General features: G+C 37.4%; 1 protein-coding gene across 6 annotated transcripts in view; it reads left to right on the top strand.

Annotated features, from left to right (window-relative positions):
- HIBCH (3-hydroxyisobutyryl-CoA hydrolase) overlaps positions 1 to 26,763 on the top strand; it is a 130,092-nt gene that overhangs the window by 50,043 nt on the left and 53,286 nt on the right. For all 6 annotated transcript variants that reach the window (XR_922903.3, XM_047443905.1, NM_198047.3 and 3 more), the window contains 5 exons: positions 8,550 to 8,628; positions 17,477 to 17,622; positions 20,058 to 20,144; positions 23,572 to 23,630; positions 24,816 to 24,897. Coding sequence is in view for 5 of the 6 variants with exons in the window: in XM_047443905.1 (XP_047299861.1) it covers positions 8,550 to 8,628; positions 17,477 to 17,622; positions 20,058 to 20,144; positions 23,572 to 23,630; positions 24,816 to 24,897 (453 nt within the window). In the remaining variant the exon portion in view is untranslated. The remainder of the gene's footprint in view (positions 1 to 8,549; positions 8,629 to 17,476; positions 17,623 to 20,057; positions 20,145 to 23,571; positions 23,631 to 24,815; positions 24,898 to 26,763) is intronic.

Genomic DNA, 26,763 nt, shown 5'->3' with positions numbered 1-26,763 from the left:
AGTAAACATATGTGTGCATGTGTCTTTATAGTAGAATGATTTATAATCCTTTGGGTATATACCCAGTAATGGGATTGCTGGGTCAAATGGGGTTTCTGGTTCTAGATCCTTGAGAAATCACCAAACTGTCTTCCACAATGGTTGAACTAATTTACACTCCCACCAGCAGTGTAAAGTGTTCCCATTTTTCCACTGCCTTGCCAGCAGCTGTTGTTTCCTGACTTCTTAATAATCACCATTCTAACTGGTGTGAGATGGTATCTCATTGTGGTTTTGATTTGTATTTCTCTAATGACCAGTTATGATGAGCTTTTTTCATATGTTTGTTGACTGCATAAATGTCTTCTTTTGAGAAGAGTCTGTTCATATCCTTCACCCACTTTTTGATTTTTTTTTCTTGTAAATTTGTTTCAGTTCCTTGTAGATTCTGGATATTAGACCTTTGTCAGATGGATAGCTTGCAAAAGTTTTCTCTCATTCCATAGGTTGCCTGTTCACGTTGATGACAGTTTCTTTTGCTGTGCAGAAGCTCTTTAGTTTGATTAGATCCCATTTGTCAATTTTGGCTTTTGTTGGCATTGCTTTTGCTGTTTTAGTCATGAAGTCTTTGCCAATGCCTATGTCCTGAATGGTATTGCCTAGATTTTCTTCTAGGGTTTTTATGGTTTTAGGTCTTACGTTTAAGTCTTTAATCCATCTTAAGTTAATTTTTGTATAAGGTGTAAGGAGAGCGGTCCAGTTTCTGTTTTCTGCACATGGCTAACCAGTTTTCCCAGCACCATTTATTAAATAGGGAATCCTTTCCCCATTGCTTGTTTTTGTCAGGTTTCTCAAAAATTAGATGGTTTTAGATATGTGGTGTTATTTCTGAGGGCTCTGTCCTGTTCCATTGGTCTATATACCTCTTTTGGTACCAGTACCATGCTGTTTTGGTTACTTTAAATATCTTTATAATTATCAGTCTTTGAAAATTAATATTGGGCTACTCTGGGCATGCTGCCTATGGGTTAGCCCTGCTCCACAAGGAGCAGTTAAAAAAAATTGCTTTTTGTCTAGAATAGTAATATCTGGAAATATGGGAGCAAGTGCTGATTCCTAGTTGCAGATTAACGTATTTATATGTTTGAATGGATTTAATTGTCCTTTTAAAGTAATTATAATGAGATGTTCTTTTAAAGCCAAAAACAGAGCTGTGTCAGCTTTCTTCTCCTATTGGAACAGTCTGAAAACTCATCTAGCTAGGTTTCTTAATTAAAAAGTAAAGTCTTAGGTTGCCTAAATTTTGCCTTTAGGGATGCCAAAAACTTAAATAGGAAGTCATTTTTACAGTGACAGAGTAGGAGTTTGACTACATTCACATGCTTTTTCCATTTTTGTTCAAATGTTATGCTTGTCCATATTAACATTGTTTATAGTAGATTGTATTACTATGTGAAGATGATTGTTTAATAATAACGCAGTTAAAAAACAGTGAATGTCAGAGTGCTCGGGACACCATAAATATAAGGCACAGAAGGGTTAAGATAGCATACCACACTAACTAAAGGAAAGTGGTATAACTTTTTAAATATCCAATGACGTACGTTTTATGGCAAAAACCTTTATTTGAGGTAGGACATACCATAATTGTAGAATGGTTAGATAGTACATTTAAATTTTAATGCCCTGTGAGTCTGTATCTATTGTGCCTTTAGTTGTGGTCTTTTCTCATATGTCTGATTATTTCTGAGTTATTTCTAATTGAGTATTTAAAATGCAGATATTTTTGAGTCCTAGGATGATGTTCTCTCTCCAAAGAAGATGGACCTTTGTTTCTGGTAGGTGTTCAGGCTAAGGGCACTAGCAGTCCCAGATCATCTCAGTCTAGTCAGGACTTCAGAGAATTTGAAGCTGGACTTAATTCGAGGTCATCCTAGAATGATGGCTTGAATCTAGGCTATCTAGTTCCTGAGGTCCCCTTAGGGGCCCAACTTGGCAAGCCCTAAATTTCCATTTTTGCTTCTTTAGAAGATATGGCTTAGCTCAATCTGTTTCAAACTTTATTCAGCTTTTTACCATTTTAATATCACTGATTATTGACTGTACTCAACTGCAGAAAGATACTTTATAAATACTTGTCTAAAAGCCTCGGTTTATAACTAAATATGAAGCTGAATTACTTAATGAGTTCCATAGTGAACAATATGGCACTAGCACTAAAATGGAGAAACCATAGGAACAAACCTTTGCCTATCTGAAATAACTCTACTGGTATGATATTTTCAAACATTTAAAAATGACTAATCTTGGCAGGGTGTGGTGACTCATGCCTGTAATCTCAGCACTTTGGGAGGCCGAGGTGGATGAATAACCTAAGGTCAGGCATTCAAGACAAGCCTGACCAACATGGTGAAACTCCGTCTCTACTAAAAATACAAAAATTAGCAGGGCATGCGCCTGTAATCCCAGCTACTCAGGAGGCTGAGGCAGGAGAATTGCTTGAACCCAGGACACAGAAGTTGCAATGAGCCAAGGTCACGCCACTGTGCTCCAGCCTAGGTGACAGAGATTCTGTCTCCAAAAAATGAAACAAAACAACAACAACAAAAAGTCATGAGATTTGTAGATGTTGTCTTCACCTCACTCTCCCCATCACCCCAGCTTCACCTAGAACATTCATACACTGTGGACAGAATTGGTCTTCTAAAATAAAAAATAAAAATAATAAAAATAAAAATGACTAATCTTGGCCAGGTACAGTGGCTCCTGCCTGTAATCCCAGCATTTTGGGAGGCCGAGGCATTTGGGTCACTTGAGGTCAGGAGTTTGAGACCAGCCTAGCCAACGTGGTGAAACCCCATCTCTACTAAAAAAACAAAAACTAGCCTGGTGTGGTGGTGGGCGCCTGAAGTCTCAGCTGCTCGGGAGGCTGAGGCAGGAAAATTGCTTGAACCCAGGAGGCAGAGGTTGCAGTGAGCTGATATTGTGCCACTGCACTGCAGCCTGGGCAACAAAGCAGGACTCTGTCTCAAAAATATAAATTAATTAAAAATAAAAACGGCTCATTTTGTGGCCAGGTGCGGTGGCTCATGGCTGTAATCCCAGCACTCTGGGAGGCCGAGGCGGGCGCGTCACCTGGAGCCTAGAGTTTGAGACCAGCCTGGCCAACATGGTGAAATCCCATCTCTACTAAAAATACCAAAATTAGCTGGGTGTGGCAGTGCACATCTGTAGTTCCAGCTACTCCGGAGGCCGAGGCAGGAGAATCACTTGAGCCCAGGAGACTGAGGTTGCAGTGAGTAAAGGTCACGCCACTGCACTTCAGCCTGGGTGACAGGGTGAGACTCTGGCTCAAAATAAATAAATAAGTAAAAATGACTAATCTTGTAAACAAGTGGAAAGCTCTAAAAGTGGAAATAGAACCACAATCATAAGAAATATTCGAACATATTTCTTTCAATAACAGATAAAACAGAGACATACTGAGTACGTATATTTTCATGCACATATTTTATATGCACACACATTATTTGAATGAAAATTGTTTAATAAGCTTGACCTAATGAACATGCACTCAGTAACTGCAGAATTCACGTTCATTTCATGTGTGTATGAAACACTTGCCAAAATAGGCCTTGGAATTCATCTTAATATATTTTAAAGGATTAATCTTACAGAATACATTATCTGTCCCCAGTGGAATTAAGGTTGCAATCTGTAATGGAAAGATAATAGGGAAATCCCAAATGTTTGGAACATAAGCAGTAACCTTATATGACATCACAATGAAATGATCAAAATACAAAAAAAAAAAGATTTAAAATCAGTAAACAGTAAATATCAAAGCTGAAAATTATTTTTATAGACTATTAAAACTGATAAATCCTTAGTGATAAGTTGGTAAAGACAAAGATAAAAGCAAAGTATGTTACAAATACGGAAATGAAAAATAGCACATCCCTATAAAACCCATAGCCATTAAAAAGATTACAAGAGGATGTTATGTACAACTTTATGGTCATATATTTCAAAATTTTGATGAAATGGACAAATTATAATCCATAACTGTTAATGAAAGTAAGTCTTTAAAAACCTTTTTATGAAGAAAATTTCAGTCCCAGGGGTTAGGGAGGGATTACTTAAATAATACACTAAATGTACCATAAGCAAAATGAATAAATTGTAATGTGTTAAGAATGAGAACTTCTGTTCATTCCAAGACATCCTTGAAACAGTGAAAAGGCAAGCCACAGACTGAAAACATATTTGGTATACAGCTGATAAGGGAATCCTGTCTAGGATATATAGAGAATTCTACCAATTCAAAAATCCAGTAAAAAAAAAAAAAAGAGCAAAAGATTGGAACAGACGTTTCACAGCAAAAGATTAGAACAGACATTTCACAAAGAGGATACCCAGATAGCTAATAAACCTGAAAAAGCTCTCAACTGTATTAATCATCAAGGATATGCAAATTAAAACTTCAGTGAAATACTAACATATAGTCATTAGAATGGCTAAAATGTGAAAGACCTCTTGAAGTGTTGGTGAGGATGTAGAAACAGCAAACTCATATACAGCTAGTGGAGCAGAAATTGGTACTACCACTTAGGAAAATTGTTTTGATATATTTTAAAGTTGAATGAGTCAATACTTTTTTTTTTTTTTTTTTTTTTTTTTTTGAGACGGAGTCTTGCTCTGTCCTCCAGGCTGGAGTGCAGTGGCACAATCTTGACTCACTGCAACCTCCACCTCCCAGGTTCAAGCAATTCTCCTGCCTCAGCCTCCCGAGTAGCTAGGATTACAGGCGCATGACACCATGCCTGGCTAATTTTTGTTGTTTTAGTAGAGACAGGGTTTCACCGTGTTGGCTAGGCTGATCTCGAACTCCTGATCTCAGGTGACCCGCCCACCTCGGCCTCCCAAAGTGCTGGGATTATAGGCATTACGTGAGCCACTGTACCTGGCTGATTAATACCCTTTGACCTGACACTTTTACTCCCTGGTATATATCTGACCAAAATGTGTGCACTTTTGCACCAAAACATATGCAGAAGAATGGCCACTGAATTGTTACTTGAAATAGCCAAAAACTGGAGACAATCCAAATAGCCATTTATATTAGAATGGATTAACAAATTGTTTATTCATACAGTGCTATACAATGAAAAAGAACAAATTACTGCTATATGCAAGAACATAAAATCTCACAAACATAATGTTGACTGAAAGAAGTAAGATAGTAATATATATTCTGTGATTCTATTTATATCTAGATAAACCAGAAAAAACTCTAATCCTTTGTTAGAGGTCAAGATAGTAGCTACTTGAGGGATGGAGGGTGTAGTGACTGACAGAGTGCATAGCACAATTTCTGATAGTTTTTATCTGGGTTTTGGTTACATGGGTGTGTTCATTTGAGGATAATTCATTGAAACTATATGCTTGCGAACGTACTATTTGTTACTGTTTGTGTACCTTTAAGTGGATATTATACATCAAGAGAGTTTAAAAAAAAAAAAAGAAAGAAAAAAGAAAGAAAGCCCGTGTGGCTTGCTGGAGGGGAAGTGAGAAAGTGGGGAATGGTAGACTATAAAATCAGGAAGGTAGAAGGGGACCAGATCATATGGGACCATATCAGCCATGATAATATTTTAGTGTGAAGGGAAGTCACTGGAGACTTCTGGGCGGGAGAATGACGTGATATGTTTTACATTTTAATAAGCGTGCTTTGACTGGTATAGAGATGATAGATTGTGGCAAGAATAGAAGCAAGATACACCAGCCTGGGCAAGAGAGGATAAAGGCTTCAAGTAGGGTCGTAATAGTGTAGATGGTGAAAAGTGGCCCAGTCCGGGATATATTTTTAAGTTAGAGCTCTCAGGATAGTTCATAGATTACATTGTGGGGTCGTAATAGTGTAGATGGTGAAAAGTGGCCCAGTCCAGGATATATTTTTAAGTTAGAGCTCTCAGGATAGTTCATAGATTACATTGTGGGGTAGAAAGGAAAGAAGGTAATGCTGAGATGTTTGGCCTGAGCAGCTGGGTGAATTGTGATGCTGTTTACTGAGATGAAGACAGAGAGAGGAGCACACTTAAGGAGAAATCAAGAGATTTACTTTTGATGTGTGAAGGTTGAGATACTTATTAGACATTCAAGACGAGACGTTAAATAGCTGAGTAGAGAAATCAGGGATGGGGAAATAATTTATTAGTGTTTTAGGTGGTGCTTAAAATCCTAGGGCTGGAAGAGATCTCCTAGGGAATGCATGTAGACAGGACAGAGTACAGTGGGGTAGAGTGAAGTGGAGTAGAAGGATGACATCTAATTATTGTGGCAGGTCAACACTTTGATATCAGGGAGAAATGAAAGAGTAACTAATGAGTTAGATTTTAAAGCAGGAATGTATGGTGCCTCAAAGCCCAGTAAAGCATTTCATAAAGTAGGAATGAGCAACTGTCAAATATTACTGAGCTATTTAGCTAGTGTTCAGCTTGGTGAAAAATGAGATTTGACTACTGGGTTTGGTAGGTTTGGGGGAGAGATTTGAGGAGAGTTGGAATTGGAATAAAGTATTATATTTGGAGAATGAATCTGTATAAAATTAGCTAATACAATAAAACTTGAAGACTTTGGAGCCTTTTTAGTCTAGCAAAGAAGTATCAGCTAAGATTAATGGTTAAATAAAATGTAAAATCAAATTTCAGAAGTTAAGAGGGCTGCTTACAAGTAACCTATAATAGATTCTTTGATGTAAGATAGAAAAATTAGTTACGAATCTGCCATTAGGGTTTTATACCCCATTCGAAATGGTTCAGCGTATTCCTAGTATCTTCAAGTGAAGTGGCTTGACTATTCTGAACCTTCATCTTTATTGAAAGGCTTTAAAATTGGCTCTTAATGATTCTTATGTCAGTGGTCTCTTATTCTGATAGTTTTTCATTAATAACTTTTTGCTCAAATCTTGATGTCTTTTCTTTAATTCACTATTATCAGCCAATGCTAAAATAAAACATACTCTATGTAATATAAGATAACAAATGGAATCAATGAATCAGTTACCCCGCATGGATCTGTAGCTTCTATGTGAAGTAATATGGGGTTTTTAAGTTTCTTTTTCCATAGAGTTCAGGAGGTGGAGAGGGCCCTCTGTAGAGAATTTGGTCTGTTAGGTTGTTCCTTTGTAAAGGAATGAAGATTCCAGAAGATGTGATGGGAATGACTAGTCAGGGACAGCAGTGTTAGGAGGTTGTGTTGGGAGGAAAAGCACAGAACAGTATTGCAGTGAATATATACTGGGGGCCCAAAGACTTACGTTGTGTGATGCTGATGGCAGGATCTAGGTCTAGTTCTAACTGAAAATGTGGTGAAGAGACATTTTAATTGGAAAGAACAGAGACTCACTCAAAAAGATCCACAAAAGAGAATGGGGCAGTTATTAGACAAGTTCAGGGACCTTAGGCATTGCTTATGTTCCTGAAAATTGGACTGCAGGTGTGGGCTTGAGGCAAATTTAAGTTGTGTGTTTATTTTTCTATCTCTGCTTCTTTTTATGTGTTTGTTTTGTTTTCTGTCTTGTACAGACTGCAGCATTCTCAGGGTTTTTTTCTTTTCTTTTCTTTTCTTTTTTTTTTTTTTGTCTCTACCGCATATAAAACCAGCTTTTACTTGGCTGTCATTGTCATCTTTAGCTCAAATGTCAGATGACCTTTAAGCTTCACTGCCTGTCATCGACTGACAACTGTGCACTGTGTTTTAGTTTTAAGTACCTAAGAGTAAGAAGAACCTTATCTAATTCACCCCTGCCTCTTTGCTCCCCAGGCCTCTGAATTCTGGTTAGTCTCCATTGGCTGCCCTTGGGTCCATTGCCAATCCCTAGTTCAGCCCCTCCTGGGGAAAGGAAAAGAGAGTCTCTGGGCAGAGCAGATTCCCTTAGAGAAAAAGCAGTGATTGAGCAGGCAGTGGCCTTATCTAGTAGTTTTTCTTCTTACCTTAGAAGTTTTATGATTAATTGAAATTGTAAAAGCTTAAAATTTTGGAGGAATGGCATGAAGCCCCCATGGCTAGTGGAACGAGTGCGGGAAGAGTGATGGGAGATAAAGTCAAAGAGGTCAGCTAGGCCAGGTGATATAGAGCCTTGCAGGCCATGGAATAGAGTGTGAATTTTATATATGTATAGTTGTATATATTCTTATATATAAAATATATATCAGATAAATAGACACATTTGTTCATATATAAGAAATACATAGGGAAAAAAATCGTAGGTTACTTACCAAATGGATAATAGCTATGTGTCTCTGTGGAGGAAGAGAATGACCAGACAAGAATGGGGGTGTGATCAGACTTTATGTGTAAATGTTTAATAAAGGGGAATATAGTCATGTGCTGTTTGTGGAATTCAAAGTTAATTGAAAGAGGTGGGGACAACCTATTCCCTGAAGCAAGTTCCTGTGGAGTATAAAGATAATTTACTTGCTTTGTAATTTTGTAAGTGTGTGAATTTGCTTGTTTTTTAACAATATGTTTAATTCCCCCCCGCCTCTTTTTTTGCCTTTTTTCTCTAGGGAGTTGGTCTCTCAGTCCATGGGCAATTTCGAGTGGCTACAGAAAAGTGTCTTTTTGCTATGCCAGAAACTGCAATAGGTAAACAACCAGAATTTTTTTTATAATTACTTTTAGCATCATCTTCTTTTGATATGTTTCAGAGTTTACTGTTGTTGAAGGAATTGATGGACTCTTGTGTGAGATGCAACAATGAAAGGATTTTAAAAAAGAAATTAAATAGGAAGATACTTTGAAGTCTATATTAGCTCAATGATTATATCTGAAAACACAAAACTGAGAACATTAAAGGAGACATTAACACACTATAAATAAAACATTAACACTATAGATAAAATATCATTAAGGGAATATATTTTTGCCTTTAGATCTGTGCAGTTTTGAGTTGTGATCAAAACTATCATATGACACTTCTGAGTTAATTTTTGTATATGGTGAGGGGTGTGGATCACCTATATAAGTCAAAGTTTATTTTGTATATGGAAATACAATCATTCCAGTACCAACTGTTGAAAGGGTATTGTTTTGCTACTGAATTGCCTGTGTAGCTTTGTTATAGTTGTCTATAGATGTCAATCATGGTGCCAACACCATGTTGTCTTGGTTAGTGTTGCTTTATAGTTAAGTCTTAAAATCAGGTAGTGACAATGTTCCACCTTTGTTCTTTGTATCTTACCAAGTTGCTTTGGCTATATAGGTTCTTTATCTTTCCATATGTATTTTAGAGTTACTTGTCGATTTCAACAAAAAAGCCTGCAGATGAATTTAGAGAGAATTGACATCTTAACACTATCGAGTCTTTTCAGACCTGTGGGCAAGATATAATTCTTCATTTATGTAAGTGGTCTTTAATTTCTCTCAGCATGGATTTTTAGTTTTCAGTTTATAGGTCTTATCTTTTGTCATATTTATCCATAAGTATTTCATATTAATGATATTTTTGAATTGTTAGTTACCAGTCTAAAGAAATACAGTTGATTTTTGTATTTACCTTTATCATGCAGACTTGCTAAACTCACTTATTAGTTTTAGTTGCTTTAGATTTGAATTCGATTCTACTTTACTGGAATTCCTAAAGAGACAATTATGTCATTCACAAGTAAGAGCAGTTTTACTTTTTCCTTTCCTTTTTCTAATCTGGATACCTTTTATTTCTTTCTCTTGCCCTATTGCGTAGAATAGAACTTCCAATACAATGTTGAATAGAAGTGGTGAGAGTGGACATTTTTTCCTTGTTCCTGATTTTAGGGGAAAGCATTTAGTCTTCTACCAATTAAGTTTGATGTTAAGGTATATATTTTTCATTTAAGATAAGGAACAAGACAATGATGCCTGCTCTCATCATTTCTGTTCAATGCTGTATTGAAAGTCCTTGCCAGAGCAATTAGGCAAGAGAAAGAAATAAAAGGCATCCAAACAGGAAAAGCAGAGGTGAAACTGTCACTGCTGATGACATGCTCTTATATATATATGGAAAACTCCAACAGCTCCAGTAAAAAACTGTTTGAACTAATAAATACAGTAAAGCTGTAGGATATAAAATCAACACATAAAAATCAGCATTTCTATACACTAACAACAAACTATTTGAAAAATAAGAAAACAATTTCATTTACAAAAGCATCAAAAAGAATAAAATACTTAGAAATAAATTTAACCAAGTAGGTAAAATCTGTATGGCGAAACGACATCCCTACAAAAATAACAAAAGATAGCTGGACATGGTGGCGTGTGCCTGTGGTTCCAGCTGCTCAGGAGGTGGAGATAAAAGGATGGCTTGAGCCCTGAAAGTAGAGGCTGCAGTGAGCTGAGATCATGCCACTGCACTGTAGCCTGGGCAATAGAGCCAGACCATGTCAGTCAGACAGACACACACACACACACACACACACACACACACACACACACACACACACATCTGTATACTGAAAACTACAAAACTTTGATGAAAAAAATTGAAGAAGACACAAATAAATAAAAAGATATTACATGTTCATGGATTGGAAGAATATTTTTAAAATGTTCTTACTACCCAAAGTGATCTACAGATTCAGTGTAATCCCTATCAAAATCCCAATGTCAGTTTTCAAAAAAATAGAAAAAACAATTCTAAAATTCATATGGAACCAAAGAAGACTGCAAATAGCCAAGATAATCTTAAGCAAAAAGAACAAAGCTAGAGGCTTTGTATTGACTTCAAACACTATTGCAAAGTTTTAGTAATCAAAACAGCATAGTACTGGAATAAAAATGAATACGTAGACCACTGGAAAAGAATAGCAAGCCCAGAGACAAATCCATATATTTGCAGTTAAGTGATTTTCAAGAAAGATGCCAAGAATACATAATGGTGAAAGGACAGTCTCTTCAATAAATGATGTCAGAAAAACTGGATATCCATATGCAGAAAAATGAAATTAGACCCATACCTCATATTATATTTTAGAAAAAAACCTCAAATGGATTAAAGATGTAGTCATACAACCTGAAACTGCAAAACCACTAGAAGAAAACATATGGGAAAATGACGTGACATTAATCTGGTCAATAATTTTTTGGCTTTGACGCCAAAAGCTCAGGCAACAAAAACAAAAATATACGATTGTTGTCGTATATACACATGTTGTTGAATCTATCCAACATCCAGGCTACACTGATGCAAGGGGTGGCTCCCAAGGTCTGTGCATAGACAAATAGAATTACATTATGTAAAACGCTTCTAGAATCACAGCAAAGAAAACAATTAGCAGAGTAAAGAGGCAACCTATTCCAATCTCTGCTCGTTGCCTAGTTCCCAAGTCACTTCTACATTTCCAGGTATCTTTATAGCAATGCCCTACTTCTCTGGTACCGGTTTGCTGTATTAGTCCATTCTCACATTGCTATAAAGAACTACCTGAGACTGGGTAATTTATGAAGAAAAGAGGTTTAATTGGCTCACAGTTCCACAGGCTGTACAGGAAGCATGATTGGGGAGGTCTCCAGAAATTTACAGTCGTGGCCAAAGATGAAGGGGAAGCAAGTGCATCTTCACGTGGCTGGCAGGAGAGTGAAGGGAGAAGTACTGCACACTTTAAAACAACCAGATATCATGAGAACTCACTCATTATTATGAGAACAGCAAGGGGGAAATCTGCCCCCATGACCCAATCACCTTCCACCAGGCCCCTCATTCGACACTGGGGATTACAATTCAACATGAGATTTGAATGGGGACACAGAGCCAAACCATATCAGGGCCTTTCAAGAAATTTGTCAATTTGTTAGCATAAAGTTGTTCATAATTGCTTTTTTGTATGTGTCGCCTGAAGTTCACGTGTTGGAAACTTAATTCCCAACTCAGCAGTGTTGAGAGTTGGTACCACTAAGAGGTGAGTGGTTCATGGGGGCTCTTCCAGTTTTTGCAGGTTAGTTCCCGATACAGGGATGACTTCAGCCCCCTTTCCTTCTGCTCTCTTGTCCTGTCTCACCCTTGCCTTTTGCCGTGGGATGATGCACCAAGAAGGCCCTCGTGTGATGTTGGCACCATGATATTGGGCTTCCCAGCCTCCAGAACTGTGAGAAATAATTTTTTTTCTAAATTACCCCGGTCTGTGGTATTCTGTCATAGCAACACAAAATGGACTAAGACAATAATATTCCCCTATTATCTTTTTAATATCTGTAGACTCCTTAGTGATTTCTGGCTCTCTTATTCTTGATATTGGTCATTGTGTCTTCTCTTTTTTTTTCCTGATCAATCTAGTTAGAGGTTTATTAATTTTATTGATCTTAAACAGATTTTTGTTTTCATTTATTTTTTATTTTGCTGATTTCTGCTCCAGTATTCATTCCTCCTTTCTTCTGCTTATTTTAGATTTTGTTTGCTCTTCTTTCATTTCCTCAGGTGAAACCTGAGTTCACTTGTATGAGATGTGGGTATGGAATTCGATTCTACTCTGGTTTTTAATTTCAGTAATTTAAAGATGTTACTACACTGTCATCTCATTTAATTTCCTACAGAAAGTCTTCTCTCTTCCTTATTTTTGTTCCTGTGTCTTTTTATTTTCTTTGGCTGCTCTTAAGATTTTCTCTTGATCACATGTTTCAAGCTATTTGATTATGATGTGCTTTGGTGCTCTTCATATTTCTAATGCTTGTGGTTATTGAGCTACTTAGGTTTATAACTTCTGTCAAATTTGGAAAATTTTCTGCCATTATTTCTACAAATACTTTTTTTCCACCCATTCCGTTTTCAGGAATTCTGGTCATACTTCTATAAGGCTCACTTATGCTTCATTCATTAAAAACATTTTTTTTCTCTCTTTCATTTTAGATAGTTTCTGTTCCTGTGTCCTTAAATTCATTAATCTTCTCTTCTACAAGATCTAATCTGCCCTTAATCTCATCCAGGTATTTTTCAGCTTATACATTCATTTCAGTTTTCATCTCTAGAAGTATGATTTGGTTCTTTTTCTGAAAAGAAAAATTTTCTGTGTCTCTAACTTCTTGAATATATAGGTTATGTTTGTGATAACTGTGTTAATGTTTTTGTCTGCTGGTTCTTACATTTATGTCGGTTCTTATTTTTTTAAATCCCCTTTTAATGGTTAGTATTTTCCTGCATCTTTAGATAGCTGGTAATTTTTTATTGAATTGTACATATTGTAAACTTTACTTTGTCGGGTGCTGGATATTTTTGTATTCTTTTAAGTATTTTTGAGATTTCTTCTGAGATGAATTTAAATTCCTGGGAAACATCTTAATATTTTCAAGTGTTGTAAGATTTATTATTATTATTTTTTTTTTTTTTTGCAGAATTGGAGCAGTGGTCCAACTAGGGCTAATTATTTCCCACTACTGGGGCAAGATCTTGCTTTGTGTTCTGCACAGTGCCCCATGACATCAATCATGAGTTTTTCTAGTCCAGATGGTGGGGAACATGCTGTTTTTAGTCCTGTGTGGGTTCCCAGTACTGTTCTCTATAATCATTTTCTGTGATTCTTTCCTTAGTCTCATGTAGTGATATGGTTAGGCGTTGTGTCCTCACCCAAATCTCATCTTGAATTGTAATCCCCGTAATCCCCATGTGTCCAGGGAGAGATCTGGTAGGAGCTGATTGGATCATGGACGCAGTGTCTCCCTTGCTGTTCTCATGATAGTGAGTTCTTACAAGAGCTGATGGTTTTATAAGGGGCTCTTCCCCCTTTGCTCCTCACTCTTTTTTCTCCTACTACCATGTGAGAAGGTCCAAGCTTGCTTTGCCTTCTGCCATGATCGTAAGTTTCCTGAGGCCTCCTTAGCCATTTGGAACTATGAGTCAATTAAACCTCTTTCCTTTATAAATTACTCAGTCTCGGGTAGTGTGAAAACTGACTAATCATGTAGTTTCTTGACACACACACACACTCTCTCTCTCTCTCTCTCTCCATTCCTAAGCTAAGTACTTAAAAGAGACACCCTGCAGATCTCCAGAGCTTTCTCTCTGCAGCTCTCTCCGCTCTGGTACTCTGTTGTGGGAATTCTAGCTGTCTTGGTTTCCCTAGACTCAGCTTCATCTTCTCAAATGAGGCACTGTGCTGGGCCTGGGAATTCACTCAAGGCATGAAGTTGGAGCTGTTGTAGAATTTACCTTGCTTGTTTTCTGATATTCAGAGACCACTTTTCTTTATTGCTTGATGTTCAGTGTGTTGAAAACACTATTGATCCATATATTGTGTCTGTTTTTATAGTTGTTTCAGGTAGGGGGATAAGTCTGGTTCCTGTTACTCTATCTTGTCCAAAGTATAAGTCTCCCAGATGGCTACTTTAAATTGGATGATTAAAGATGCTCTCAGAGGAGTTGTCCTTTAAGCTGAGATGTGAATAGCAAGAGTCAGCTACATGAAGAACTGAGAGCAGAATATTGTGGCATTAAGAAAAGTTAGCTCAAGACCCTTAGGTAAGAATGAACTTGGCCTGTTAAAGGAACCAAATGGAGGCAATCTGTGTCTGAATCGAGGGCAGGAGTGATGTAACATGCTCTCAAAAGGGTACATGGGGGCCTCTGGTGAAGAGTTAAGATTTAAACCTAAATATGGGAAGTTGTGGAAGAGTATAAAGCAGGCAATGACATAATCTAGTTTATATTTATATTGTAGTACCATGATTCTGGCTGCTTTGAGGATAATGGATTGTAGGGGTAGCAGAGTAGAAGCAGTGAGATTGGATAATAGGTTATTACATTAGTCTAGAGCTACACTGTCCAATACTGTATAGCCACTAGCCACAAGTGGCTTTTAAAATTTTAATATAAATTAATTAAATTTAAAGAAAACAAATTCAGTTCCTCAGTCACACCAGCTACATTTCAGGTGTTTAATAGCTACATATGGCTAGTGGCTGTCTTATTGGACAGCAGAAATTATAGATTTCATCATTGTAGAAAGTTCTGTTGGACAGCACAGTCTGGAGAGATTTTGGCTTTGGAGTAGTTTGGAGGTATAGAGTTGAAAAGAGTGAATAGATTTGAAACATGTTTTGGGCTTAACTGACTTGCTGGTATGATGAATCAGGAATAACTCCAAGGTATTTAACTTGTGCTACTTTGATGGATGAGGCTGATGAGGGAAGGAGCAGTGTAGTTGGAGGTTTGTGAATCAGTAGTTCTACTTTTGCCATGTTAAATGTGAGATACTTATTATCTATGTGGTTCTGTTTAGGTGGCAGATCTAAGAGTTCAGTGTTCACGGGAGAAGGCATGAGTGATTTCGCAGTGTATTAAACTTTTAGGGCTGCATAACAAAATACCACAAACTTGGTTGCTTAAACAGTAGAAATTTTTTTTCTCACAGTTCTGGAGATTGAAAGGCTGAGATCAAGGTGTCAGCAGATGGTTCTCTTGAGCCCTCTCTCTGTGGCTAATAGACTGCTGCCTTCTTGCTCTGTCCTCATGTGGCCTTTTCTCTGTTCACATGCATCCCTGTGTTTCTTCCTCCTCTTATAAGGACACCAGTCCTGTTGGATTAGGACCCCACCCTTATGACCTCACTTAAACTTAATTACCTCTTCAAAGGCCCTGCTTCCAAATGCAGTTACATCGAGGGTTAGGGCTTCAACATAGGACTTTTTGGAAGGACACAATGCAGTCCATAGCAGGGAGTAATCAGCATATAGATATTATTTAAAGTCATAGGAGTTAAGGAAAATGTATATATAGGAAAGAGGAGGTAGCCTAATATGGAGCTTAGGCACCTTGAGCAAGAGGTCAAGCAGAGGAGGTGGTGTCTGTGAGGGAGACTGGAAAGAAGCAGAATTGGGGGAAGGGGGAGAAAAGAGAGAATGTGGTACCCTGGAAGAGAAGAACGTGTTGTCAGGATGGAGGGTTTTTCCACTTGGGCAGCATGCTGCTGAGGCTCTGGGGCAGGAATGAGTGTAGAATGTTAGGGAACTGAAAGAAGACCAGAGTGGCTGGAGTATTGGGAGTGAGTAGTAAGGGATGTAGTGGAAAAAGTGGTAAGGGGCCTTGAAGACTTTGATAAAGGTGTTTGTTTTAATCCAGGAGAAATAGGCAGCCATGGGAGGGTTTTAAGCAGTGGATGCAAGACTCTGGTAAGGATTTGTGTTTTTAAAAGATCACTTTGGCTATTGTGTGGAGAACAGTTCAGAGGGAAAATCAATAAGATGTGGTCACTGATGGGGATTAAGGGGATGGTGCGAGAAGGTGTCAAGGCTGTATACGTGCACCCTTTATTGAGGTAGGTGATGCTGGAGGAAGATTGTGGGACTGGCGCGGGGAGGTTATGAGTTTAACTTGAGACCTAGCTAGTTTGAGATACTAAGAGATATTTCTGTTTACAGGAGCATGATGCTTTTTCTTTTAAGTCTAGAACTTTTTTGTAAAGTAGAACTGGAGAGAATTTTAGTGCTTGCATTTTTATCCCAACATAATTAAAGGAAACTTTAGAACAGATACATAAATTATAAAACTAGAGGGTCACAGTTGTTTAAGATCTTAAACACCCAAAGGAGTGTGCTGGTAATTACTTGTATGTATGCTATTTTCTTTATTTTATTATTATTATTATTTTTACTTGAGATGGAGTCTTGCTCTGTTGCCCAGGCTGCAGTGCAGTGGCATTAGCTCACTGCAACCTCTGCCTCTCGGGTTCAAGCGATTCTCCTGCCTCAGCCTCACCAGTAGCTGGGATTACAGGCATGCGCCACCATGCCCGGCTGATTTTTGGAATTTTAGTAGAGACGGGGTTTCACTGTGTTGGCCAGGCTGGTCTTGAACTCCTGACCTCAGGTGATCTGCCTGTCTTGGCCTCCCAAAGTGCTGAGATTACAGGTGTGAGCCACCGCGCCTAGCCTTATATGCTATTTTCAGTTGTTACCCGTAGATAATTTTTAAATACTGATGGTTAAGAAAAGGGTAAATGCAAATGATTTTATTAGGTATAAACCTGTTCATTTAGTAGGACTTGTGATTATTGCATCAATATTTAAACATCTTGAATATTAGATAATTGACTAAGGTTGGGACATGATTTAAATGGTAATAATTTTGCTATAATAGGCCATAGGTTATGTATTTTTTTTTCCTGTGCTGATTTGGAAATAAATTTTTTTGAAATTTTTACCTATTTTGGAGATTCTTCAAAAGTAGATCAGTGGTAAGAAAATTTAGGTAACATTGAGTACTTCTAATATACAAAACATTGTGTCATCAAATACTTTACTGACTTCTATAGAAATGAGACATGAAGGTTTTGAAAAATACCCAAGTTAGCACAGTTCATAGCAAGTCTTTTGTGATATTGATTGCAGTGTATAGTACTTAGTTTAATAATGTTTGTAATGTATATTCAAGCTCCAGAGAGAAATGGTTTGTGTGATCTACGGCAAAAAGGTTATATTTATCTTTTTCATTTGAATCACCATTATCTCTTTTTGTTACATTTAATTACAGGACTGTTCCCTGATGTGGGTGGAGGTTATTTCTTGCCACGACTCCAAGGAAAACTTGGTTACTTCCTTGCATTAACAGGATTCAGACTAAAAGGAAGAGATGTGTACAGAGCAGGAATTGCTACACACTTTGTAGATTCTGAAAAGGTACTTTTTCAGATGTTTGCATTTTGTATTGTTGGAATAACAACACAAAATAGTGCATGGGAAGGTACAATGGGTGGTTGAGAGCCACAGACTTCTGGTGAAATCGTGGTGTGAATCCTGGACCTATTAGTTTATAGCTGTGTTACCTTGGAGAAAGTGCATAAGCTCTCTAATTCTGTTTCCTCATATGCAAACTGGAGATAATGATACCTGGATTCAGGGTTGGCACCTTCAGTGAGTATTTTTAAGTGAACAATTAGAGTCTCTTAAAAAAAAAATCATGCCTACCTTAAGAAAGTCTAATATGTACAAATCTAAATTTATATATAAAAAGATAGCCTTTTATTTTATGAGGACATTTTGAAGGCTTCTTTTGGTTATGAGTTTCCCTAGCGCATTGAAAGTAATTGCATTTGACTTTTCTAAAACACATCTGTTACAAGGAACACGTTACTTATCTTTGCTTTTTTTTTTTTAAAAAAAAAACAATGTGGCCAATTTTCTCAGCACAGGATAACATAGTGGAAAAGAATATATAGATAGTTTGAGTTTAAGTCTTAATTGGAACTTAGCCTCTTTTGCCCCCCATTTTCCCGTCTGCAGAATGGAGATGACACTATTACATAGTAGTTGAAACTCCTTGTGTTACATGTGGCAGAAGACCCAATTCAAGGTAGTTTTGCCTCAGAATTCCCAGCAAGAGACTTAGGATGTATTTTGCTTCACCTGGTTTGGTTCACTCTGACTGGACTGGCTTATCTTATTCCTGAACCGTATGAGTAGGTAGAATATACCAACTGGCCTATCCTAGGTAATGCACACTCTGTCCTTCAATCTGTGGGGTAAAGTCAGCTTTCAAGGAAGCACATGGTCATCAGATGAATAGCTGATCAGATCTTAAGGGAAGGGTGTTTTAGGATACGGCAAGGAAAGCTATAAAAATTAAATTAGAAAATTTATGTTACATGCTTAGCCCAGTAACTGACAAATAGTAAACACTCAAAATTTAACTATTATTAATAATTTTAATGCAGTTTTATATTTTTAGAGGTTGCCGGATTTTTCATTGAGAGTCTCTTGTATGTTACAAAGGATGGCCCTTTTTATCCTCATATCTGTAACATTCTTCTGTTTTGGGTAAGGATGCCAGAGATTATACTGACAGTTAGACTATCATGTGAGTCCCCCAAGGACTTTTTACAAATGATGATGATTTATTCTCACACGTCCTCTTTGGCCATTGAAGTAAAACAGCTGGATAGCATAAAAATGTACTGTTTGGTCACTAATAGAATTCTCTTCATAAACTTTATAAATTGGCTGTGGAAATTTTTATGTTGATGAGCTTTGGTCTTGTTTCTCACACTGTTACAGATTCTGTAAAATGTATGAAGCATACAAAATTGAAGATTGTCTCTGTAAACTGTTATGAAGGCCTTTCTATCATGTTTGGCCAAAGATTCAGATCTTTCTCTGTGTTGTGGGCATCCTCAGTCACATTGAGTAGTCTCATGCTTCCCTTGAGCTATAACAGGAAGGAAACATGGGCATGTGATTATCCTGTCTGGAAGGGACACCCTTGATTACAGTGGAATTTAGGATACGAGAGAGCTGATGCATAACCCCTTTCTTTGTCAATGTGTTCAATGCTAGTATCTGCAATGAGTAGACAGACATTCTCAGGGCTGTAGAGGATATGAAAAAGAGGAATATACTTTGGGGATGCGATTAGAAGTGGGTACAAAAGATAAATAACCATCTCTCTCATCTGGCAGAGGTAAAGTATGGTAAGTGTAAAAACAATACAAAGAAAATACTCAAAGAATTGAAAGGAGGAAGAGCTTACCTGTAAGAAAGGACTAGAAGCTTTTTTATGAAGGTTGCAGTACAGCCGGCCTTAAGGTGAGTATTATCAGGAAAAGGTATTGTCAGGTAAAGGAAACATTTAATGAAATCACAGGGGCAAGAAAGCATTAGCTATGCTCTGGGAACAGTAAAAAGTCCTGTTTGGCTCAGTGTAGGGTAGATTAAGTGAGGGATTAGATGGATAAATAAGTGAAGCTATATTATAGTGTTGTGCATTGTCTGTGGTAGCCACTAATAATTTGTGGCAATTTTGGTTAAAATTAATTAAAAATAAAATAAAATTTATATGTAGGTCTTTGGTTCCAAGTACTCAATAGGCTGAGAAACAAAAGTCTCTATTTCTCCTTCTTAATTTCTTCCATCTTTATCCATTCCTTTGAAGGCTACATTTGCTGTGTGGGAATACCTGTTCATTCAACTTAAGTCAAAATTTCTTTCAGTGATTCACCTGAAGAGACAGCTTCATAATTTAAAGTCAAGAATTCTAAAAAAGAAGATGAGATTTTTATAAAGCTTTCTATGTTTCTATTGGATCTAAGATCTTTCCTTTTTTTCTGCCTCCCCTTTAGTTGGCCATGTTAGAGGAAGATTTGTTAGCCTTGAAATCTCCTTCAAAAGAAAATATTGCATCTGTCTTAGAAAATTACCATACAGAGGTAATCTTGTTAATATTCTAACCTCAGGTTTTAATTCATGGGGAGGGGAAGTGATTAAAAAACTGGCAGTTGGTGAATATTATAGTTTGTAAATATAAATAAATGTACTAAGGATTTATTTACTTTAAAGCGTGGCAGAAGAATCAGTGCTTCACAGTTGTTAGTATAGCCAGCTAATAAGATGACTTCTTTCCTGTGCAGCTGCATAGCTGTCTTCCCACTGCTGGTTAACTTCAGTGCATAGCCTTGTGATCATTCTTTGCAAGGGTTTTGGCATTTCTGTAAACGGTGTTCAATGTTAACACTATTTGTGGAGATGCAAACTCTTGACATTTATTTATATTTAATAAAGTTTATTGCAGCATGTATTTTTAATTCCTTACTTATGTTGTCTGACTTGAATTTTCTTATAAGAGCCAAGAATCTTTAAAAACACTCCATAACTTCTAGTTAAACATGATTGAATACATGCTGCCTCCTAAAACACCATTCAAAATTGTAATAAGTGAATAAGAAAAGGCATAAACCCACAAAGACAAGTAGAACGGAAGAGGAGACAGTGGCAGACATGAGATGTTAGTATTTTGGAAGCTTGAAATCAGCAGGATGAGTGCTGCTAACTTAAACCAAAGAACTCTGAAAGCCAATAAGAAGTCAGCTGATTGTTGCTGTAGACCCTTCTAAAGGGACTAGGTCCCTCTGAAGACTAGGGTGTAGAATGGGGCAGAAAAACAGGAGGATTTATTATAAGTTTTTTTTTTGTTTTTTTTTTTTGTTTTGAAGCAGAGTCTCGCTCTGTCACCTAGGCTGGAGGGCGGTGGCGCAATCTTGGCTCACGGCAACCTCTGCCTTCCAGGTTCAAGCGATTCTCGTGCCTCAGCCTCCCGAGTAGCTGGGATTACAGGCGTGTGCTACCATGCCCAGCTAATTTTTGTGTTTTAGTAGAGACAGGGTTTCACCATGTTGGCCAGGCTGGTTTTGAACTTGTGACCTCAAATGATCCACCCTCCTCAGCTTCCCAAAGTACTGAGATTATAGCCATGAGCACTGCACCTGGCCCTTCCACAAGTCTTCTTGTACAACTGAGAGTAGCTATCTTCCAGTAGCCTGGCAGAAGAGTAGATACTTACTCCTTAGAGAAACCAAATCAGGCAGGTCTAGCTGACAGTAGAGACTGATGAAGTACTGTACTGATGAGAGGTGAGATATACTAAGTTGGAAGACCTCTGTCCCTTTTCCCTAGTTGGCTTGCAGAACCGCTGCATCCCACCCCACTCCTAAGCAATACATTGGAAGAAAAAAAAACCCATAGACGTTGAAATTCATGGACCCCTTAATAACACATCTTGCCTGATCATCTTATAATGTAACACAATTGAGAATCCCATAACTTGCAACTGACATTAGACGCAAAGCTTCCTAATTTTAGTGCTTTGCATAGAAAAACAAATATTCCTAGGCCAAAACAAACAACAAAGGCACTGGAAGGAAACAGTTAATGCAAGAAGAAGGAAACTTAGACAAATACCAATCTATAACTGTTAACTTAAGAGGAAAATATTTTACCTCTTAAACAACAACAGATGTTATAAAGGTAATTCAAAGAATAATATAGGCATGCCTCAGAGAATCTGAATTTGGTTCCACACCATGGCAATAAAGCTAGTCACATGAATGTTTTGGTTTTCCAGTGCTCATAAAAACTTTTACACTATACTGTAGTCTATTAAGTGTGCAGGAGCATCATTTCTAAGCACAAGTACGTATCTTATTAATTTATAGTTATAAAATAATTTAGCTAAAAATACTAATGATCATCTGAGCTTTCGGTGAGTCATAATTGTTTTGCTGCTGGAGGGCCTTGCCTAGATGTTGATGGCTACTGGCTGACCTTGGTAGTGGTTATGCCTGTAAAATTTTAAAGATGATAACAAAAGTTGGGAATAAAAAACCCAGAACAGATTAAAATCTGTGGTTGAGGAAAACTCTAACAGAAAAGGATAATTAAATAGAAAAGGGAGAGAATGGAAAACTAGAGGTATTATTCCAAGAGGTCCAAAATCTAATCATTAGGAATTCATAGTAAAGAAGATAGAGGGAAGGAAATATTTGGAGAAATAGTACCAAATAAATTACCCAGAACTGAAGAACATGAGTACAGATTGGCAGGGCCACCAAGTACTTGGTGGAGAGAATATGAATACAGAGCACATGAGGATTTCACTTGTTTTTATCAGAGCATTTGATAGTCTCCTGTTGTCGAATTGAGTAAATATGTGATGAATTATGCTTTGCGGTGGTTGAAGGGGCTTATCAAAGAGTTCTACTAAATGTATAGGAGTTAGTTTGTAGGGAAGTCATCTTAGACTTATTCAGCATTTTTCTCAAGTGATTTGGTGACCACTGATAGCGTTTTGATCAAGTTGATTTAGAACTAAGAAAAACAAGTTAAATTAGGAAAAAGAATATGGATGAAAAAACAACCCTTAGAGTTTAGAGTGATCTGCTCAATAGTAATAATGTGAAATTTAATAAAGATAAGTGCGAATCTTGTGTTTTAACCCAAAGTGCTAAATTCATAAGTACAGAATAGGAGAAACACAGCCTACAATGGCACAGGTTTAAAAAAAAAAAAAAGTCTTATTTAATTGGAGCTTAGTGTGAATCAGCTGCAATCATAGGCCTGTCTCAACACTAACTCAGAGTTAGTCCAATTAAGAAAAGTATATCCAAAGCAATCAAGGGCCTGCAGAACCCTCTTATACTTTGCTACCATCCAGCCACACCTGCAGCTAAGATACGTGTCCCGTACTTGAAGAATGACCTTGATAAACTGGAACTTGTCCATGAGAAGGACCTGGATCATGAGGGGACACAAAACTGTGTCATGTGGGAAGTGGTTAAGGTGAAAGAGATTAACTAGAACTATAAACATGCTAGCATTGGTTTTTGTTCCAGAATTAAAACAACAACAGAAACCTAATTATTCAGTTGTTCTAGCATTTGTGAACTCCTCCTTGAGAGGTGCTTTCTCTCCCTGAAGGTCACAGCTGCAGGCATACCAGGTATATGGTGTGAATTTCTGGCTAGGATGGAAATTTGGGCAGGTTGACCTTTCAGGTCCCTTACATATTCACAGATATATTTTAATGATAATGTGTCAAATGTAATAGTGGTTACATATATTTATACATGTAAATAAAAATACTAGAACATTTTTGCCGTTGATACTTTTAAGAGCTAGTCTAGAGTTCTACATGCTGTCTGAATTTTGATCATACAGCGGTAGTTATTTATGAGACAGTTAGATGTAATTTGACTGAAAGTGACAAGTGACAATCTTTCACAAAGTGTATCATTAAATATGAATTTTTAAGGATTAAAAAATTGTGTTCAAATTTATTAAAAGATTTTTCTTTTCAAACAGTCTAAGATTGATCGAGACAAGTCTTTTATACTTGAGGAACACATGGACAAAATAAACAGGTACCTAAAAAGAGATCTCAGTTATATATTCCTTTAGAAAGACTATGTTAAAATGAATTTGCTAACATTATAATTACCATTTTAATTACATTGTGTTTGATAGTGCACTGAATTCTGAGATCAGAAAGTATAGAGCTTTCCTTCCTTTTTTTTTTTTTTTTTTTGAGACAGAGTCTCGCTCTATCCCCCAGGCTGGAGTGCAGTGGTGCAATCTCAGCTCACTGCAGCCTCCGCCTCCTGGGTTCAAGCAATTCTTATGCTTCAGCCTTCTGAGTAGCTGGGACTACAGGCACCTGCTACCATGCCTGTCGAACTTTTGTATTTTTAGTAGAGACAGGGTTTCGCCATGTTGGCCAGGCTGGTCTCCAACTCCTGACCTAAGGTGATTCACCCTCCTCGCCCTCACAAAGTGCTGGGATTACAGGCGTGATGCCTGGCCAGCATAGGGTTTTTTTTTCACTTACCTTTGAAAGTAGCTTCTTTCCCTCTCTTTCTGGGTGAAATAAATTCATTATATTTAAGTAATCTACCATGAGAATTCATCTTAGTACAAAATACCTTTTTTTTTAAAGTGGGGAAGAGCAGCTAGAAAATAATAATTAACTTTTATTTTTGTAAATTCATCTTTTCTGAAGATCTTACCAAGCTGAACAGCAAAAAGATTTTGTGCAGTGATTTGAATTTATATTAGTGCAAAATATCTTTTTTTTTTAAGTGGAGAAGAGAAGCTAGAAAATAATAATTGAATTAACTTTTACCTTTTTAAATTCATCTTCTCTGAAGGTCTTATCAAGCCGATCAGCAAAAAAGGTTTTGTGTGATGATTTGAGAGATTGACAAACTGGCTTTGGGAAACAAGAGGAGGAAAAGTATTAGAAAATAAGACAACCATCTCTACAATTTAGAAGCATCGATTTTTCATTGTTGAATTGTTTCTTTACATGGAAATATAACAGATGCAAAAGAAAAAATAAAATTTAGATTTTATTTTATGTTAGTGAAGGTAGACGGCAAATGCTTACCCAGGGAAGCAATGCTCTCTTTCTTTTCACGTCCTGTTAAAGAGGTTAGACAATTTTTCATTATTGAAACAGAGGTGGGGGAAAGCCTATGTTCAGATTCATCGTATGTTAGAAACAGGAAATCACTTACACATTGGTGAAATCACATTTCCTTTTTTTATAGTTGTTTTTCAGCCAATACTGTGGAAGAAATTATTGAAAACTTACAGCAAGATGGTTCATCTTTTGCCCTAGAGCAATTGAAGGTAATATTGGAATCCTTTCTGCCCTGAGTGAACATAGTGAAGTCCGGTGACAGGGAAGCCTCTCTAAGGGGGTATTAGTGCTCCATTGGTGGTGACATAGCCCATGCATTGTGTTTTCTTTTTTCCCAAATTTAGGTGAGCTTCAGAAATCAGTTCCACTAACCCTGACCTAAATCCAAGTGCCGTGTCTACCTGCTGGTCGTTGAGGGCAAAGCCAATCTAGTTTTATGTCCTTTGAATGTAACAGAGGACTTTAGTAAGCATGCTTCATTTCCAAATAGTCCTCCTTGTCCTATGGAGGAAGGTTTTAGGGACATTTTAATTAGAAGGGCTGGGTCACTGGAGATTAGTCACCTTATGATACATTGCAATTGGGACATTGATCTATAAATTCTACTTAATATGGTCTTTCTAAACAGGAGGTTTAATTAAAAAGTGATCTTTTTTAAACAAGCAAGAGACTCTATCTCTTGCCATAGCTGAGTCTTATGTAGTGTTTCTGTGTTAGGTACACTTTGATCTTTTTGACACATAACTGTTAACAGCAGAAGAGCCATTTTTGTATAAATGTGTACATACCAGGTATTGACATTCGTGGACCTCTAGTATGATTATGAGACTTGGAGTATTTCAGACTTCTAGACAAAGGAAAGAAAAGGTATGTTTCCTTATACTTAAAAGGTGTTTTAGCTTGTCTTCATCTGATAGCATTTTTCGTATATATATGTGTGTGTGTGTGTATATATATATATATATTAGGCTCCACATCATGATTCCATAATGTTTTCTATTTATAGATGTAATCATAGCATTTCAGTTGTCAGGAAACATATTGAGAAAAAATTTTGATAGTCTTACCTGTAAAGGTGAAAACATTTCCTCCATTGTCACTGTATTTTTTTTGTTTTCGTTTTTTTGAGACAGAATCTTGCCCTGTTCCCCAGGCTGGAGGACAGTGGTGCAATCACAACTCACTGCAGCCTCAGCCTCCCAGGCTCAAGCAATCCTCACACCTCAGCCTCCTGAGTAGCTGGGACTACGGGCGTGTGCCACCACGGGTGGCTAATTTTTTGTATTTTTTTGTAGAGACAAGGTTTCACCATGTTGGCCAGACTGGTCTCGACCTCCTAGGCTCAAGTGATTCACCCACCTCAGCTTCCCAAAGTGCTGGGATTACAGGTGTGAGCCACCACACCCGGCCTTTTACTGTATTCTTAAGGGGGAAATCCAAAGTTAATTTCTCCCATGGGATCTTATACAGTATTAAAATTTTGTTAACTTTCAAGGATGGGCATAAATTAGAGCAGGTAGACCAGCCATTTATTTGCCTAACTCACAAAAGTAGATTGTTAATATTAACAACTTCCAGGAATGTTTACATCAATAGTCATTTTATAATTCAAGGAATCCGACTTTAAGTTGGTGTATCAGGGTTCTCTAGAGGGAAAGAACTAATAGGAGATATGTATATAAAGGGGAGTTTATTAAGTATTAACCTGCACAATCACAAGGTCCCACAGTAGGCTGTCTACAAGCTTGAGGAGCAATGAGGACCAGTCTGAGTATCAAAACTGAAGAACTTGGGGTCTGATGTTCAAGGGCAGGAAGCATCCAGCATGGGAGAAAGATACAGGCTGGGAGGCTAGGCCAGTCTCTCCTTTACACGGTTTTCTGCCTGCTTTATATTCTCTGGCAGCTGATTAGTTTGTGCCCACCAGATTAAGGGTGGATCTGCCTTGCCCAGCCCACTGACTCAAATGTTAATCTCTTTTGGCAACACCCTCACAGACACATCCAGGATCAATACTTTGTATCCTTCAGTCCAGTCAAGTTGACACTCAGTATTCACCATCACAAGTCCACCCC

Source organism: Homo sapiens, chromosome 2 (assembly GCF_000001405.40).
Source record: "Homo sapiens chromosome 2, GRCh38.p14 Primary Assembly".
Lineage (NCBI taxonomy): Eukaryota > Metazoa > Chordata > Mammalia > Primates > Hominidae > Homo > Homo sapiens.
Note: the sequence above shows the minus strand (reverse complement) of the source record. Positions and strands in the feature narration are given on the sequence as shown.